General features: G+C 45.5%; 1 long non-coding RNA gene across 1 annotated transcript, besides 2 other annotated features; it reads left to right on the forward strand.

Moving 5' to 3' along the window:
- Positions 9-718: an enhancer, noted in NCBI's record as "H3K27ac-H3K4me1 hESC enhancer chr19:35396062-35396771 (GRCh37/hg19 assembly coordinates)". NCBI's record gives its function as "activates a minimal SCP1, AML or CMV promoter by ChIP-STARR-seq in primed H9 embryonic stem cells {active_cell/tissue: H9 hESC(primed)}" and the evidence as "EXISTENCE:reporter gene assay evidence [ECO:0000049][PMID:30033119]".
- Positions 166-3042, forward strand: LINC01838 (long intergenic non-protein coding RNA 1838). Its single transcript, NR_146451.1, has 2 exons — positions 166-1075; positions 2293-3042. It is a non-coding gene; the product is annotated as a long intergenic non-protein coding RNA 1838 (long non-coding RNA).
- Positions 4066-4664: an enhancer, noted in NCBI's record as "OCT4-NANOG hESC enhancer chr19:35400119-35400717 (GRCh37/hg19 assembly coordinates)". NCBI's record gives its function as "activates a minimal SCP1, AML or CMV promoter by ChIP-STARR-seq in primed H9 embryonic stem cells {active_cell/tissue: H9 hESC(primed)}" and the evidence as "EXISTENCE:reporter gene assay evidence [ECO:0000049][PMID:30033119]".

A 16741-nucleotide genomic window follows, 5' to 3' on the forward strand; every position in this document is an offset into this window, starting at 1 on the left:
CGCCTGCAACCGAGTGAGCTCGAGTCCGGCTGGGGTCGGACCGTTGGACCTCCCCGTTGGCCCTTTGTTGTACTTCTTCGCGCCCTGGGCTCGCGCAAGCTTTCTCTGCCACGCGTTCCAACGGCCGCTCACCGGCATCGGGCTGAACACGGTGCGCTTCACCTCGGAGTTCCCACTCCACTCCAAGGATCCAACAGCGCACAAGCTGCTCTTCACGGGCAACTACCTCTGCAAGCTTCACCCCCGGCCCCGCCACGCCCCGCAGGGTTCCCTGTCTGGTCTGGATCACCTCGCTCTCCCTGCGCCTCTCTCCTTGGCCTAGCTAGACAAGTGCTTCTCACGATCCAGCGCGTTTACCGCTCGGTTTCGTCGCCGCTAAGGGGTGGTGGTGTCTGATCCGTCAGGCTCTGCGCTTCTCTCTCGGATCCATCCTCAATGTCCAGGCAGGACTCTCACATGAAGCCGGTGCTGTCTGCTGTTCACTCTAAGATGTCCAGCCACTCAGGACAGTTACGATCTGTCATCCAGGGCCCAAACCGACTCTCCTCTATTGCTATCTGAGGTAGGCAGTCTCCTCTGTGAGGTCGGTCCCATCCATACTGCCTAGATCCCTGCGCAGGAAGACTGAGATGAGGACCCTAGGAGACAGCAGCCAGGGATAGCGAAGGTGGAGGATGAGTATAAATAGCGACCCCAGCGCGATCAGAGAAGCTCCCTTACCCCCACCCATCGCAGTGGGAGTGAGTCTTCAGATCTACCCCCAAGACAACGAAATCCTACCCGGGCCATTGAAGGGAAACCTCCACTCCAACCCCCAGAAGACGCCTTAGATGAGAAAGTGAAGAGATATTGTATGAGCTCATTCATCAAAGGCCATGCCATCACCAGCTCAGGCAGTGCTGCTAGGGGATTCCTGCCTCTCTGGAGGTCCAGTTCTCTCTGAAGACAGAGAAGATGCAGGGAGGAAGGGTTTCAAACAGGAACTCTCAACCCACGTCTGCCAGTTGTAGACTCTGTAAACAAAGTTCCAACTCGCCCGCTGCTGCCACTGCCGCTGCTATTTTTTGAGGTCAAGGTGAGCTGCCCAAACTCTCCTAAGCTTTTTTGTATAGTCGTTGGAGAAGATGTAGGCTTGAAGAAGAAAGCAGAGCCCCAGTCTAACCACATGTTCTTAGAAGATAAAGCCAAGGCCCCTTCAGATAGCAGTGCAGTGCCCCTCAGCCTGCCCCTTCTTTCTTCCTGCTTGTTGCAGAGATGGCAGGCACCCCACCCTTGGCCATTTTCACCTTGTAGTTTGCTGATACTACCATGTTACCAGCCACTGACTTGGCTGTCCTGTCTTCCAGGCCCCCAGTCCCTTCTGCCCCTGTACCAGTCCTCACCCCATATACAGATCATTAAATGAAATGCCCATATCCTAACTCTCCTTTTTTTTTTTTTCCTATTCTTGTTGTTTCTCCCCTTAGGTTCAATATCATTTTGGGAGTTCCCCTTTATGGGAATAAAAGCCATTTCCATTTCAGTCCCTCATCTGCAGATTTTTTTGGGGGGTGGTGGGGCAGGGTCCTGCTCTGTCACCCAGGTTGTAACGTAGTGGTGCAATCATGGCTCACTGCCGCCTAAAACTCCTGGGCTCAAGCAATCCTCCCACCTCGGCCTCCAGAGCAGCTAGGACTACAGGCATTTTTTTCTTCTAGAGATGGAGTCTTGCTATGTTGCCCAGGCTGGTCTGGAACTCCTGCTTTTGAGTGATCCTTCTGCATCAGCCTCTCAAAAGTGCTGGGATTACAGATGTAAGCCACCATACCCAGCCCAGATCTCTACTTTTTTTTTTTTTTTTTTTTTTGAGACGGAGTCTCGCACTGTCACCAGGCTGGAGTGCAGTGGTGCGAACTTGGCTCACTGCAACCTCCACCTCCCGGGTTCAAGTGATTCTCCTGCCTCAGCCTCCAGAGCAGCTGGGACTACAGGCATGTGCCACCATGCCCAGCTAATTTTTGTATTTTTAGTAGAGACGAGGCTTCACCATGTTGGCCAGGATGGTCTCTATCTCCTGACCTCGTTATCTGCCTGCCTCGGCCTCCCAAAGTGCTGAGATTACAGGTGTGAGCCACCACGCCTGGCCTAGATCTCTACTTTTGACCTCACCACATCTCCTAACCCCTTGGCCTTTGCTTCAAGTCTACCTCCTGCAGAATTGAGTCATCTATCAGTTTAGTAATCTAATCAGAATCTATCTAGTCATCTAATCAGAATTGAGTCATTGTGGATTTTTCTCCCTTTTTCTTACAGACTCTTCCACCTGTATGCCCATCTTCATAGACCGGCCCATCACTGGTGCCTCAAGCATTTTCACTATCACAGCCAGTAATCTGCAGACTCAACCTCAAGCCTACTTTGTACTTTGGTATAAACTGCATGGATACCAATCCCTTTTCACAGGTTTTCATCTCCTGGTCTCCCATAGGATCCAGGATGAGTATCCTCCCATTTGACCAGTTCCATCCCAGTATGGAGCAGATATCCCTTGTAAAGAACACAGTCTCCACCAGCCCACCTGCTTTTATGGTCAACAGCCCTACCTGAATTTCCAACATTGCCTTTTGACCCAAGAAACACCTATCACCTGAAATCTAGGGTTCCAGACAGGCATCAACAGGAAACCACTCTCTTCAATGCCCTGTCTTTTCTGGCCCACCTACCACTGCTTCTGCAGTCACCTCCACTATAGTAAGCAGACCCTCTTCAGACTTGGCATCCAAGCCTGCCTTTTACTCTGATGAAATCAACATGGATACCATGCCCATTTCCCCATCTGTTATCTTCCTGTCTCTCCCTGCAATGTTAACAGCTGTTTCCCTTTGAAGAACCTGGCAGCCCCCAGAAATCCTTCCTACTTAACCTCTACTGCAGCCCTGGAACCCAATGACAGCACCACTCAGGCAGCTTTTGGGAATTTGACTCCCCCATGTCCACCTTTGGCATCTGCTATGGTTTGAATGTGTCAACCAAATTTCGTGTATTAAAAACTCAATCCCCAAATTCATATGTAAATATGTTTGAAGGTGGGGGCCTTTGGGAGGTAATGAGGATTAGATAAAGTCATCAGGGTGGACCCCTATGATGGGACTGGTAAAAGGAAGAGACACCTGAGCTGACAGGCTCTTGCTCTTGCCATGTGATGTGCTCCACCATGTAACGACATAGCAAGAAGGTCTTCACCAGATGCCAGCACTGTGCTCTTGATTTGCTATCAGAGAGGATAGTGCCATACCTCTGGTTGGAGACAGATGACTTCAATACAAAGCTTATGACCTCAGTCAGAGTGCCTGGGGTTCAACTGGGTGTAGCACATCTGTTGCAGGTGCAAATGTGTGTTTAAAAGTCCCTGTATTCCTGTCTCCCAATCAGAGCAGTAAGGGCTCACCTGGACAAAGAACAGGGCTATAATGGGTGGAGACCACACCATACCTGTGTTTGTATATATGTCTCTTTCTACAATGATTGAGATAGTTCTGACCGGACCATATTTGTTGTAATCAGAGGGTATAACAGCATATAATATTAGGGAGCCACTCCTATTCTTGCCTTCAGTCAGAATACCCAGAGTCCATCCATTCAGAGTAGCACCTTTGACTTTTTTTTTTTTTTTTTTTTGAGATGGAGTCTTGCTCTGTTTCCCAGGCTGGAGTGCAGTGGCATGATCTTGGCTCACTGCAACCTCCACCTCCCAGGTTCAAGCAATTCTCCCTGCCTCAGCTTCCTGAGTAGCTGGTATTACAGGTGACCACCATCATACCTGGCTAATTTTTGTATTTTTAGTACAAACAAGGTTTCACCATGTTGGCCAGGCTGGTCTTGAACTCCTGACCTCAGGTGATCCGCCCACCTCAGCCTCCCAAAGTGCTGGGATTACAGACGTGAGCCACTGTGCTCAGCCCCCTTTCAGAACCATCGAGAAAATACATGTGCTTGGAAGCATTTGTGTTCCTAGCTTTGGTTACAGCAATTTCCTTTCTGGTGTGGACATGGCAAGCAACAGTCTTGCTTTTGGGGCACTTTTTTTGCATGGTCAGGGCTCACTAGAGACAGAGATTTGGGGTGACCAATTGATTTATTTTATTTGGTGAAAGAATGAGGATCTCATCAACTAAGGAGCAAAAGCTTCCTCTAGAAGCAAAGAGAGGCCACTATCAGTCATGAATAGACCTTACACTTTGGGATGGAGGCTCAGTCCCACCTAGAGATGTCAAACAAACCAAACCTGCTCTCTGTCCTGCTAAACAAGGTGGAAGCCCACACATTGTGAGGCAGATGAGACCAGTCAGAAGTCAACACAGTGGTATCAAGCAGTTCCACTGTGAGGAGTAGAGAAAACTATTTAGGTATCATTGTCATGCATCCCTGGCTTTGACTGTCAGCCTGCCAGACCTAACCCCTGGCCCAATGTTCCTGTCTTGAAACTAGAAGGATGCTCAGTGCTACCTGCAGCTGTCTCATTTCCCATCACCCATTTGCCTTGGTGGGCCCTCACCTTTCTTTCCTAGATTATATATAAGATGGGATGACGTATCCTTTCCTCCTCCCTCTGTGCTTCTCCCCCAACCATCTGACCTCAATGTAGGCCAGATATCCTGGACATGTGTTAGATGACACTTGACAATTTTATCCTTTCAAAATGCTTAACTGGCCGAGGGGTGGTGGCTCAAACCTGTAATCCCAGCCCTTTCGGAGGCCAAGGTGGGTGGATCACCTGAGGTCAGGAGTTCAAGACCAGCCCGGGCAACATGGTAAAACCCCATCTCTACTAAAAATTTAAAAATTAGTCAGGAGAGGTGGTGCATGCCTGTAGTTCTAGCTATTCAGGAGGCTGAGGTAGGAGAATCACTTGAACCCAAGAGGTGGAGGTTGCAGTGAGCCAAGATTGCACCACTGCACTCCAGACTGGGTGACAGAATGAGACTCTGTCTCGAAAAAACTAAAAATGCTTAAACATCTGAAGTGTCTCTTTCACTTTGACCTAGGTCAATCATCCCAAACATTCATACTTCAACCAGAGAGAGTGGATTTGGTATCCAGGCTCTTGGGCCTGTAGAAAAAAAGGAACTAAAAGCTCGTACCTACTCTGTAATTACTGAAAATGTTAAGCCTAGGTGAGCATATTTTTCCATTTCATCTAGGAGAATATGTATATACACATATATATGACAGATATGCACAAATATCCTGTTTTTAGAAGCTGTTAGCATGCTGCTTTAAAAAAAAAAATAAAGTTATTTGGCCGGGCTTGGTGGCTCACGCCTGCAATCCCAGCAGTTTGGGAGGCTGAGGTGGTCAGATCATGAGGTCAGGAGATTGAGACCATACTGGCCAACATGGTGAAACCCCGTCTCTACTAAAAATACAAAAATTAGCCTGGCATGGTGACACATGCCTGTAGTCCTAGCTACTTGGGAGGCTGAGGCAGGAAAATCCCTTGAACCCAGGAGGCGGAGGTTGCAGTGAGCCGAGATCACGTCACTGCACTCCGCCTGGCGACAAAACAAGACTTGCATCTCAAAAAAAAAAAAAAAAAAAAAAAAATTCAAGGAAATGCCCAGATGAGACCTATTTGGAAAACTAACTAGTCTGGCTGTACTCTAAACCCCTAAAATATTACCCCACAAGTGCTACAATTTCATCCAGATCTGGCTGATGGTAGAGCAGTTCTCATCTCTCTAGACTTATGTGCTGAAGTAAAATATTTGCATATGCCAGGAGAACCATCAGAAGCTAGTGAAAGTGACGCATACAAGCATTTCCTCAGCTCCTTACATATTAGTTTATAAAACAGTTATGATTCTACATGAGAGTCTTTCTCAGGCCTTACTCATATTGAGTTGAAAGACATCTCTTAGCCGGGCACAGTGACTCATACCTATAACCCTAGCACTTTGGGAGGCTGAGGCAGGAGGATCACTTGACGTCAGGAGCTGGAGACTAGCCTAGGAAACATAGTAAGACCCCATCTCTACAAAATTAAAAAAATTAACTGGGCTTGGTGGCATGCACCTGTAGTCCCAGACACTCGAGAGGCTAGAGCAGGAGGATCACTTGAGACCAGGAAGTCAAGGCTGCAGTGAGCCGTGATTGCACCAATGCACTCCAATTTGGGTGACAGAGTCAAACCCCGTCTCAAATAAAAAAAAAAAAAGAAGAAGAAGAAGAAGAAGAAGACATCTTTCAGCCCAGCAGAATCTACAATGCAGAGTGGGAGATAAATGAATAACCAGAAATTGCCAACTGGAAAGAATGGTGATAGGGATAAGGGAGCAGGAAAGGAAGGAGGACATAAAACTAAGTCTGGGGGAGATAAAACATGAATTGTGCCTTAAAGAAGGAAGAACAGCCAACTAGGTGGAGAAGGGCTATTTCCAAGGTCAAGAAAATAGCATGTGAAGAGGCAGGGGAGAAAGAGAGCCAGTGGGACACCAGGAAGATAGTCAGGTATGCATAGAAACAGAAACCAAAGTGGAAGATGTGGCTGCGGCATTTGGCAAGGACACATTTTGACAAATATATATACAATGATGGGACATTTGTTCATTATCCTGAGCATATAGGGAGTCACCAAAAGATTGGGAACAAAAAAAAAGTGGCACAATTCTATGTACACTTGAGAAATATACTGTGGCTACCTGAGAGGGAGATTAGATGGGTGTCACTCCAGGGGTGAGGGGCCTAAGGGACTCCTTGCCATGACTAAAGCAAAGTGAGACAATGGCTAAAGCTGTGACTAAAGCAAAGGTGAGGACCTGACAGTGGGGATGGCGAGGAGGAAACAGAAGAGAAAGTGGAGTAGGTGACAGCAAGGCCAGGGCTATTCTAGCCATCTGGCTTGGACAAATGGACATGACTCATTTGGACAAACATATAGTGAGTTCAGTTTTTAGTTGTGAAGTCCAGGTACTACTCAGAAGGCTATTGGTTCATTTATCAATTTAACATACTTATTGAGTATCAAGGATGTACTTGGGACAATTTCAAGTAGCATCAATTGCAAAAAAGGTAAATTCCTGCCTTATTGGTGCCTCTATCTTAATGGGGGGCGGGGGGAGAACATGAACAACACACATAAAAAATATGTGCATTATTTTGTAGATTAGCTAGTTAACGAGTGCTATAGAGAATAAAGCAGTTTGTGGGAAACTAAATTTGGGAGTAGGGAGAATCATGGGTTTCTGTTTTTACACAGGATGCGCAGGATGGGCCCTGCTAGGAAGGTGAAATTTAAGCAAAATCAAGAAGCAGGCAGTTGAGGGAACCACGCAGATATCTGAGGGAAGAACAACCCAGAGAGTGGGAATAGCCACTGCAAAGGTCCACAGGAAGGCTGCCCGGGGTCCCAGGGAGTAGATATTAAAGACAATGGAGATAGCATGGAGTCAAGCATGAGAGCAAGAGGAGAGCGCAGAGGACAGGGCACAGTCTATGAAGGCCTTGTTAGAAGTCATAAGAAAGGGGCCTTTAACTTAGAGATGGGAATGATTGGAGGATGGCCTGGCCAACTTAGGTTTTTTTTTTTTAATTTTAATTTTTATTCTAAGTTCCATGTACATGTGCAGGTTTGTTACATAGGTAAACATGTGCCATAGTGGTTTGCTGCACCTGTCAACCCATCACCTAGGTATTAAGCCCAGCATGCATTACCTATTTTTCCTAATGCTCTCCCTCCCCCTACCCCACTCCCCAACAAGCCCCAGTGTGTGTTGTTCCCCTCCATGTATCCATGTGTTCTCATTGTTCAGCTCCCACTTACAAGTGAGAACATGTGGTGTTCCTGAGTTAGTTTGCTGGGGATAATGGCTTCCAGCTCCATCCATGTCCCTGAAAAGGACATGTTCTCATTCCTTTTTATAGCTGCATAGTATTCCATGGTATATATGTACCACATTTTCTTTATCCAGTCTACCACTGATGGGCATTTGGGTTGATTCCATGTCTTTGCTAATGTGAATAGTGCTTCAGTGAACATACACATGCGTGTATCTTTGTAACAGGATGATTTATATTCCTTTGCATATATAATTGCTGGGTCAAATGGTATTTCTGGTTCTAGATCTTTGAAGAATTGCCACACCATCTTCCACAATGGTTGAACTAGTTTACATGCCCACAAACCGTGTAAAATATTCCTGTTTCTCTGCAACCCCTCTAGCATCTGTTGACTTTTTAATAATAGCCATTCTGACAGCATTGTTCTGTAGCTGGGCAGGAGCATGGAAGCCAGGAGAACACCAAGAGGCGAAGGCTGTGGTCAGGGCAAGGGACAGTGATGGCTCAGATTTGGCAATAGTGATGGAACATTACCTCTGGCCTGTCTCTATTTCCTTTCCATCTGCTGCTCCCACTAGGTTCATGTTGCTGTGCTTAGAGTTCAACAGAGAAGCCATCCAGTCTGGGCTTTTCTTTGTGTGGGGTTTCTGAAAACTGACTCAGTCTCTTAAAGTTTATTCAGATTTTCTATTTCTTCTTGAGTCAGTTTTGGTAGCTTGTGTGTTTCCAAGACTTGTTCATTTCATCTAGGAGAAAAACATACACACACACACACACACACACACACACACACACACACACACGACATATATGTATATATATCCTGGGTTTTTTTATATGACCATTTTTTACATAGAAATGTGTATTCTTCCCTTTCTGTGTCAGTAACAAACAAAAGATATACTAAGAATTTGAGTACACTAAAGAGTTTCAGATATGGATGAAAGACACCAAGAATAGGAAGAATGAATCTGCTCCCTGGGTTGCACACGATAATCAGGTAGGAGCAGGAAGGTCACAACAACCTTGAAGAATAATGAATTAGCCTTGACAGAACAAGGGGTTGCATAACATTTTTAAAGTAGAAAAAACATTAAGCATTTTATTGTTAATATTTTTAAATTTTTTATTATTATTACTATTTAATAATAAAGCAATGTTTTATTATTAAAGAAAATATAAAATTTAGATTGATTGTTTAAATAATCTTATAAGGCCAGGCATTCATGCCTGTAATCCCAGCACTTTGGGAGGCTGAGGTAGGCAGACTGCTAGAGCCCCAGGAGTTCGAAACCAGCCTGGGCAATACAGCAAGACCCTGTCTCTACAAAAAAAATTTAAAAATTAGCCAGGTGTGGCGGCACATACCTGTGGTATTAGCTACTCAGGAGGCTGAGGCAGGAGGATCGCTTGAGCCCAAGAGATAGAGGCTGCAGTGAGCTGTGATTGCACTACTGCACTCCAGCCTAGGCAACACAGTGAGACCCCGTCTCTAAATAAATAAACAATCTTATAAGTATAAAAATATTAAAAGGTCTAGCTGGGCATGGTGGCACACGCCTATAGTCCCAGCTACTTGGAAGGCAGAGGTGGGAGGATCATTTGAGCCCAGGAGTTTGAGTGTGAACTGTAATCACACCACTGGACTCCAGCCTGGGCAACAAAAGTGAAACTCTATCTCAAAAAAAATAATAATAATGATAACAATAATAATAAAATTAAAAGATTTATCAATTAATAAGTTGAGCATCATTTAAGGACATGGAAATCCTGCATGGCCTCTGTGGTACTGTTTTTCAATCCATCATTTGATTTCATTTGCATCCTGTTTTGTGAGATTTTTCCTATATGTATATCAACACTCAGTTTGGGAAAATACATTTATCCTACATTTCAGAGAGTATATGTCAACTTGCAAACACTCCCTCTCCTTATTCATATCTACTGACCAACTTCTAAAAATAAAAATAAAACTGAAATCACAGATAATGTAGACAGAAAAATGAAAAGACAGAAGGCCAAGACAGAAAGATGAAGCTGGGTGTGGTGGATCACTCCTGTAATCCCAGCATTTTGGAAGGCTTAGGTGGGCTGATCACTTGAGGTCAGGAGCTCAAGACCAGCCTGGCCAACATGGCGAAACCCCATATCTACTGAAAATACAAAAAAAATAGCCACATGTGGTGGCGGGCACCTGCAGTCCCAGCTACTCAGGAGGCTAAGGCAGGAGAATCACTTGAACCTGGGAGGCTGAGGTTGCAGTGAGCTGAGATCGCAGCACTGCACTGCAGCCTGGGCAACAGAGCAAGACGAAAGAAAAGAGAAGAAAAGAAAAAAGAAAAGAAGGAAGGAAGGGAGGGAAAGGAAGGAAGGAAAGAAGGAAGGAAGGGAAGGAAAGAAAAAGAGAGAGAGATAGGGAGGGAGGGAGGGGAAATGTGTTATTTTGAGAAGAGGAAATGGATGGAGAAAAAATGGAAATGGCATCCCTGTAGAGAACTGGCCACTCTGCAGAGGCATGCAGGGGAAGCGCCACTCCACACTGTGTTCTGGGCTACTTCAGCACCTCTTGGGGTGATTCTGAGGACCCAGATCCTGTCCTCAGGTATGGAGACATATCCCACCATGCTCTCTGGGGACCCTTTGAGTGTGTTCTTCAGAACAGGGAAAGAGAGCATTGTGAAGGTGGTGCTAACATGTTCCAGAGGGGAAAGAACAAGTGGCTGACCTTCACAGAAAGCAGCAGAACCTCCAGCCTGACTAGTTGTGTGGGGAAGAGCTGTCCAGAGCAGTCTCTAAGAAGCCTAGTGAGCATGGGTGCCTGCAAGGGTCTTCATGGAACAGAACAGGCTGACTCCAAGTTTGTATCTTTGCAGCTGAAAGGTGCTATGTGAGCTCCATTGGTTGTTCCCAAAGACTACTTCTAGGAGCACTTCAAGGACTGGCCATGTGCCCTGCCATTTTAGCAGGACTCACCACAAGGAATGTCCTTGGAGGTAAGGAGAAGAATATTTGCCGACACCCTGCCATGATCAGAAACTTCCTCTAAAATATTGAGAAATATTTTCACTTTCATAAGCAAACTACAAATAGACTACTTCTATGTATCATGTCATAGAAGCCCAGATGCTAGAAATGAGACATTTGCTTGGAGTACCCATACCTTTAGGATATGCTGGGTTAGTGGTCCTAATTCCAAAAGAGGCCACTGTTGACTGGGACACAGCAGGATCCTTTTGAACTAGCTAGCAGTCATGGCTGCTCCCCCTGGGGACTTTGGAAGAGCTGCTCCATGAACATGCCCAGGAAAGTGGCTCTGTGCAGCACCAGGGGTGGAGTGTGGTGGCCATGGAAGTGCTCCTTTGGAACTCCCTTCATGAGACCTGTTGGGGCGCAGGCACAGCTGATGGACAGCTTCCAGGAGCTGTGCTTTAGATCCACCACAGTGTTTATTCCAGGCCTCCCTTCCCCTAGGCTCCTCCCATCTAATGACCATGTACAACAAAGGTACAAGGGCGCAGGCAACAAGAATCTGGCCTTTCCTGCCCAATGTGATAATCCTCTACAGGGTTTGTGTGGCTCCAGGACTCCCTACTGGCCTGGTCAAAAACTTATCAGAAGTGTGCTGAGATGTGACTCATTTGCTACCTAGTCCTTCCTTCTTTCACTGCTTTCACAGGTAGAGGAAAAACTCTCTCCAACCGTGTTTTTCCTCTGCACTCACACCACCACCACAATCATCAACACAGAATAAGCCTTCTGTGACCAAATGTGGGGGCTTTCCCCACACACCAGGAAGTGGACACCAGTTAGGTGTCTTCCAATTCAATTCCAACGCTACCTACCTGGAGATAGCTCCATATCCCACAGCTGGTGGGCTCAGTCCCCAAGACTGCCCCCTCCATACCCTTAGACACCAATCACAAGTCCAGTCCTCCAAAACTTCTAACCAACAGACTTCAAGTTACAGTTCCCACAGCCCCCTCTTTGGGTTTGATTAATTTGCTGGAGCAGCTCACAGAACTCAGGGAAGCACTTATTTACATTTACTATTATACTTTATTATAAAGGGCATTACAAAGGACACAGATGAAGAGATGGTATGGGGGAAGGAGCACAGAGCTACCATGCCCTCCCCATGCATACCATCCTCCAGGAACCCCCATGTGTTCAGCTATCTGAAAGCTCACCAAAGCCAATCCTCTTGGGTTCTTATTGAAGCATTCCTTCCCCCAGCGTATGAGGCAGGACCTTCTCAAGGGAGGGTCTTAAGACCCACAATCAGAAAGGCAGGGGAATGTTTGAAATGCTTGTTTCCTGGTGCCATAAAGAAATAGCACTTGAACGTAAATTTAATTTTCTCAGCAAGGCCATTTTTATGCTTTCTGCAGAAAGGGTACACTCGCCATTAGTTCTGCCATGAGAGTACACCAAACAAAGGAGACAGGGTCATTTATAACCTGATGCATCCACCCTACTGCTGTGTCCAGTTTCCATTGGCTGGAATGGGACCTCATATTCTGTATTTGTCCTGACTGGCTAGCAACTTAGAACTTTTTAAAAGAGGCAAAGGCAGATGAGAACAAAGGAAGGAGGATGTAACTTGTGGAATGCTGAGAAAGGTAAAAACACCTTCAAATAAGGAAGAGGAACAGGCTATGACCTAATGCTTGCTTGGACCAGCATAAGCATGCCAGGGCAAATATTTAGGCTAAATTGTGGGAGCTAAGAACATAAAGTACATTGATTTCTTTATTATGGTTAGCAGATATTTAAGAATGTTAGCACAGGTCTTTGAATAAATTTTGCTTCTAAGAGAAGTTACTATTTATTCCTAATTAGACAGGGAAGAAAGTCTTTGAAGAGAAACCTCTACTTTACTTTTCACAGGAAGATTACAGTCATGCCCTGGGGCAGGTGAAATGAGGGCAGGAGACAGATTCTGTTTCCTGAGGCCTGCCCTTGGGGCCCAACACACCCAACATTATAACAAAAGACTGTAACAAGAGCTACGAGAGTTAAGAGCCAGGAGCCATGGATGAAAACCAATATATATAAAACTGCCTTTGCAAAAATTGTAAGAGAAAATTCTGACCAACTCCATCTTGCCTTTAACCTCCAAACTGTCCTTGGTCATTCCTGGGCATAAGTCAGACTAACTTTGGGAGACAATAGCTCTTCCCAAAAATGAAACCACCCTTGTAAAACTAATGAAAGGCTACCAGGTTAGGAAAATCAGAGGGGCCTGAATTCTACTAAAATGTAGGTGCAGTTAAACAATTACCAGCCATTATTCCAGAGGTCCCAAGATCTCCAACTTCCCCAGCTCCTCCTATGTTAATTACTATGTTAATGGTAATTAACATCACTATTGTGGAATCTAAGACAGGCCTTTTGAGATATCTTTTCAGGCTTTTGCATTTCTGACAATCAGATGGCCCCACCCAACCTGTGACTCAAACAGTCCTGTTGCCCCCACCCAGAAGCAGACTCAGTGCATGAGGACCATTTTCGTCATCCCTATGATTGCATTCCCCAACCAGTCGGCAGCACCCATTCCCTAGTTCCCTGCCCACCAAAGTATCTTTGAAAAACCCCAGCCTCCAAATTTCAGGGAGATTGATGAGTAATAACTCCATGTCCCTCGTGGCATGGCCAGCCTCTCATCAAACTTTTTCTTTACTGCAAAGCCATGGTCTCAGTGGATTGATTTTTTCTGTGCAGTGGGCAGGAAGAACCGATCAGGTGAATATATATATATATATATATATATATATATATATATATATATATATATATAAAATAACACAACAGGAATCCCACAGGTACTGAGTTCTTTTTTTTTTTTTTTTGAGACAGAGTTTCACTCTTGTCATCCAGGCTGGAGTGCAGTGGTATGATCTCGGCTCACTGCAACCTCTGCCTCCCAGGTTCAAGCAATTCTCCTGCCTCAGCCTCCCAAGTAGCTGGGATTACAGGCATGTGCCACCATGCCTGGCTAATTTTGTATTTTTAGTAGGGATGGGGTTTCACCATGTTGGCCAGGCTGGTCTTGAACTCCTGCCCTCAGGTGATCTGCCAGTCTCAGCCTCCCAAAATGCTGGGATTACAGGCATGAGCTACCGCACCCAGCCAGGGTTCTCAAAGCTCTCTCTCCACACTTCTAGCTTCCCTTTATCCTTTGAAGGTGCTTTGCCCCAACAATTCCCTTGTAAGTCTTATCCTATTGTTGTATCTTCTCTTCAGGGGACACCTGCACTGACAGAACATGTTATATGTTGGTTTGGGGCAAAATATGATTGCTAGTTGTCATGCTTACACATAATTTGCTGTCACCATATGAACTGGAGAAAACTCCTTCCCTATACCTTTAAAATGCTTGTCCACTTCCACTTGGAAACTGAATGGCACCAATGCCAGGCTAGTGGTTTTAGAAAGTGGCTCTCCAGATCTAAAATGTTTTCATGGATAAACCCCCTGTGTCCTTGTATTCCCCTACTAGCTTTTTAAACTCTTCTGATTTCCACCAAATAGAAGTTGCATATGGAAATATGCAGTTAGATGGGCCACCTGACTCCAATTGCAGCCCTCAGTCCACCATCTGAAAAAGCTCAGGAGATCTCAGAATTCTCCTAGTCTAAACTGACCCTTTTATTATAATTATTTTTTCTTGAGATAGGGTCTCACTCTGTCACCCAGGCTGTTAGATCAATGCTTCAAAACATAGCTTCCTCTGAATCTGCAGTACAAAAGATGTTCTGCTATGTCTATTTCTGATAGCCTCTTCCTATACTGATACTTTCTTTACTAGCATATATAGATTGCTTGCTTTAACAATTCAACCGAATATTTGATAACATCAAATTAATTTAACTCTATCACAGGTTGGGTTTGCAGGCAAGCAGACATTGAGATGGAGGTTATCACACAGGGCAATTATTTGGAATGGCTCTTGGCCTCAGTACCTGGGGAAGGTGGAGGAAGTAAACAGGATTGGGCAGAGGGAGTAGACATGTTATGCATTCACAACAAAGGCCTCAGCCAATCCCACAGGAAGCTCTGTATCTGTAAAAGACCTTCAATGTGGTCCCAAGTTGGGAGGGAACCCTAGCTTTTATGCTGTCACATTAACTAGTCAATGAATGTGGGCATCCTCCTGCCAAAAGGGCATTGTTCTGACCACTTCTTCATGGAACATCTTCCTGTGTCTCCAAATTGTGGGGAAAAGAAAGAGAGATCAGACTGTTACTGTGTCTATGTAGAAAGAAGTAGACATAAGAGACTCCATTTTGTTCTGTACTAAGAAAAACCGTTCTGCCTTGAGATGCTGTTAATCTGTAACCCTACCCCCAACCCTGTGCTTGCAGAGACATGTGCTATGTTGACTCAAGGTTTAATGGATTTAGGGCTATGCAGGATGTGCTTTGTTAAACAAGTGCCTGAAGGCAGTATGCTTGTTAAAAGTCATCACCACTCTCTAATCTCAAGTACCCAGGGACACAATACACTGCGAAAGGCCACAGGGACCTCTGCCTAGGAAAGCCAGGTATTGTCCAAAGTTTCTCCCCATGTGATAGTCTGAGATATGGCCTCGTGGGAAGGGAAAGACCTGACCATCCCCCAGCCCAACACCCGTAAAGGGTCTGTGCTGAGGAGGATTAGTAAAAGAGGAAGGCCTCTTTGCAGTTAAGATAAGAGGAAGGCACCTGTCTCCTGCTCGTCCCTGGGCAATGGAATGTGTCAGTGTAAAACCCGATTGTATGTTCCATCTACTGAGATAGGAGAAAACCGCCTTAAGGCTGGAGGTGAGACATGCTGGCGGCAATACTGCTCTTTAATGCACCAGATATGTTTATGTATGTGCACATCAAAGCACAGCACCTTTTCTAACCTTGTTTAGGACACAGAGACATTTGTTCACATGTTTTCCTGCTCACCCTTTCCCCACTATTACCTTATTGTCCTGCCACATTCCCCTCTCCAAGATGGTAGAGATAATGATCAATAAATACTGAGGGAACTCAGAGACTGGTGCCGGCACGGGTCCTCCCTATGCTGAGCGCCGGTCCCCTGGGCCCACTTTTCTTTCTCTATACTTTGTCTCTGTGTCTCTTTCTTTTCTCAGTCTCTTGTCCCACCCGATGAGAAACACCCACACCCAGCTTTAAAATTTCTCCTTTTGTACTCTTTCCCTTTATTTCTCAGACCGGCCAACACTTAGGGAAAATAGAAAAGAACCTACGTGAAATATCGGGCTGAATTTCCCCCGATACAAATCACTTATTCCCTCGCCTCCTTTAAATATTTGCTTAAGTATCATTTCCCTATGAGAGCAACCCTACCCCCTCCATTCCCTACTGGAGTCCCTCCTACTCCACAGGCTTCTCATCACTGGGTTCTGCTCCTCCTGTTTCCTTTCCTATTGCACTTTTCACCTTATAAGTCACTACGTAACTTATAACATAAGTTTTTTTTTTTTTTTTTTTTTAATTGATCATTCTTGCTTGTTTCTCATAGAGGGGGATTTGGCAGGGTCACAGGACAATAGTGGAGGGAAGGTCAGCAGACAAACAAGTGAACAAAGGTCTCTGGTTTTCCTAGGCAGAGGACCCTGCGGCCTTCCGCAGTGTTTGTGTCCCTGGGTACTTGAGATTAGGGAGTGGTGATGACTCTTAACAAGCATGCTGCCTTCAAGCATCTGTTTAACAAAGCACATCTTGCACTGCCCTTAATCCATTCAACCCTGAGTGGACACAGCACATGTTTCAGAGAGCACAGGGTTGGGGGTAAGGTCACAGATCAACAGGATCCCAAGGCAGAAGAATTTCTCTTAGTACAGAACAAAATGAAAAGTCTCCCATATCTACGTCTTTCTACACAGACACGGCAACCATCCGATTTCTCAATCTTTTCCCCACCTTTCCCCTCT

Source organism: Homo sapiens, chromosome 19 (assembly GCF_000001405.40).
Source record: "Homo sapiens chromosome 19, GRCh38.p14 Primary Assembly".
NCBI classification, from domain to species: domain Eukaryota; kingdom Metazoa; phylum Chordata; class Mammalia; order Primates; family Hominidae; genus Homo; species Homo sapiens.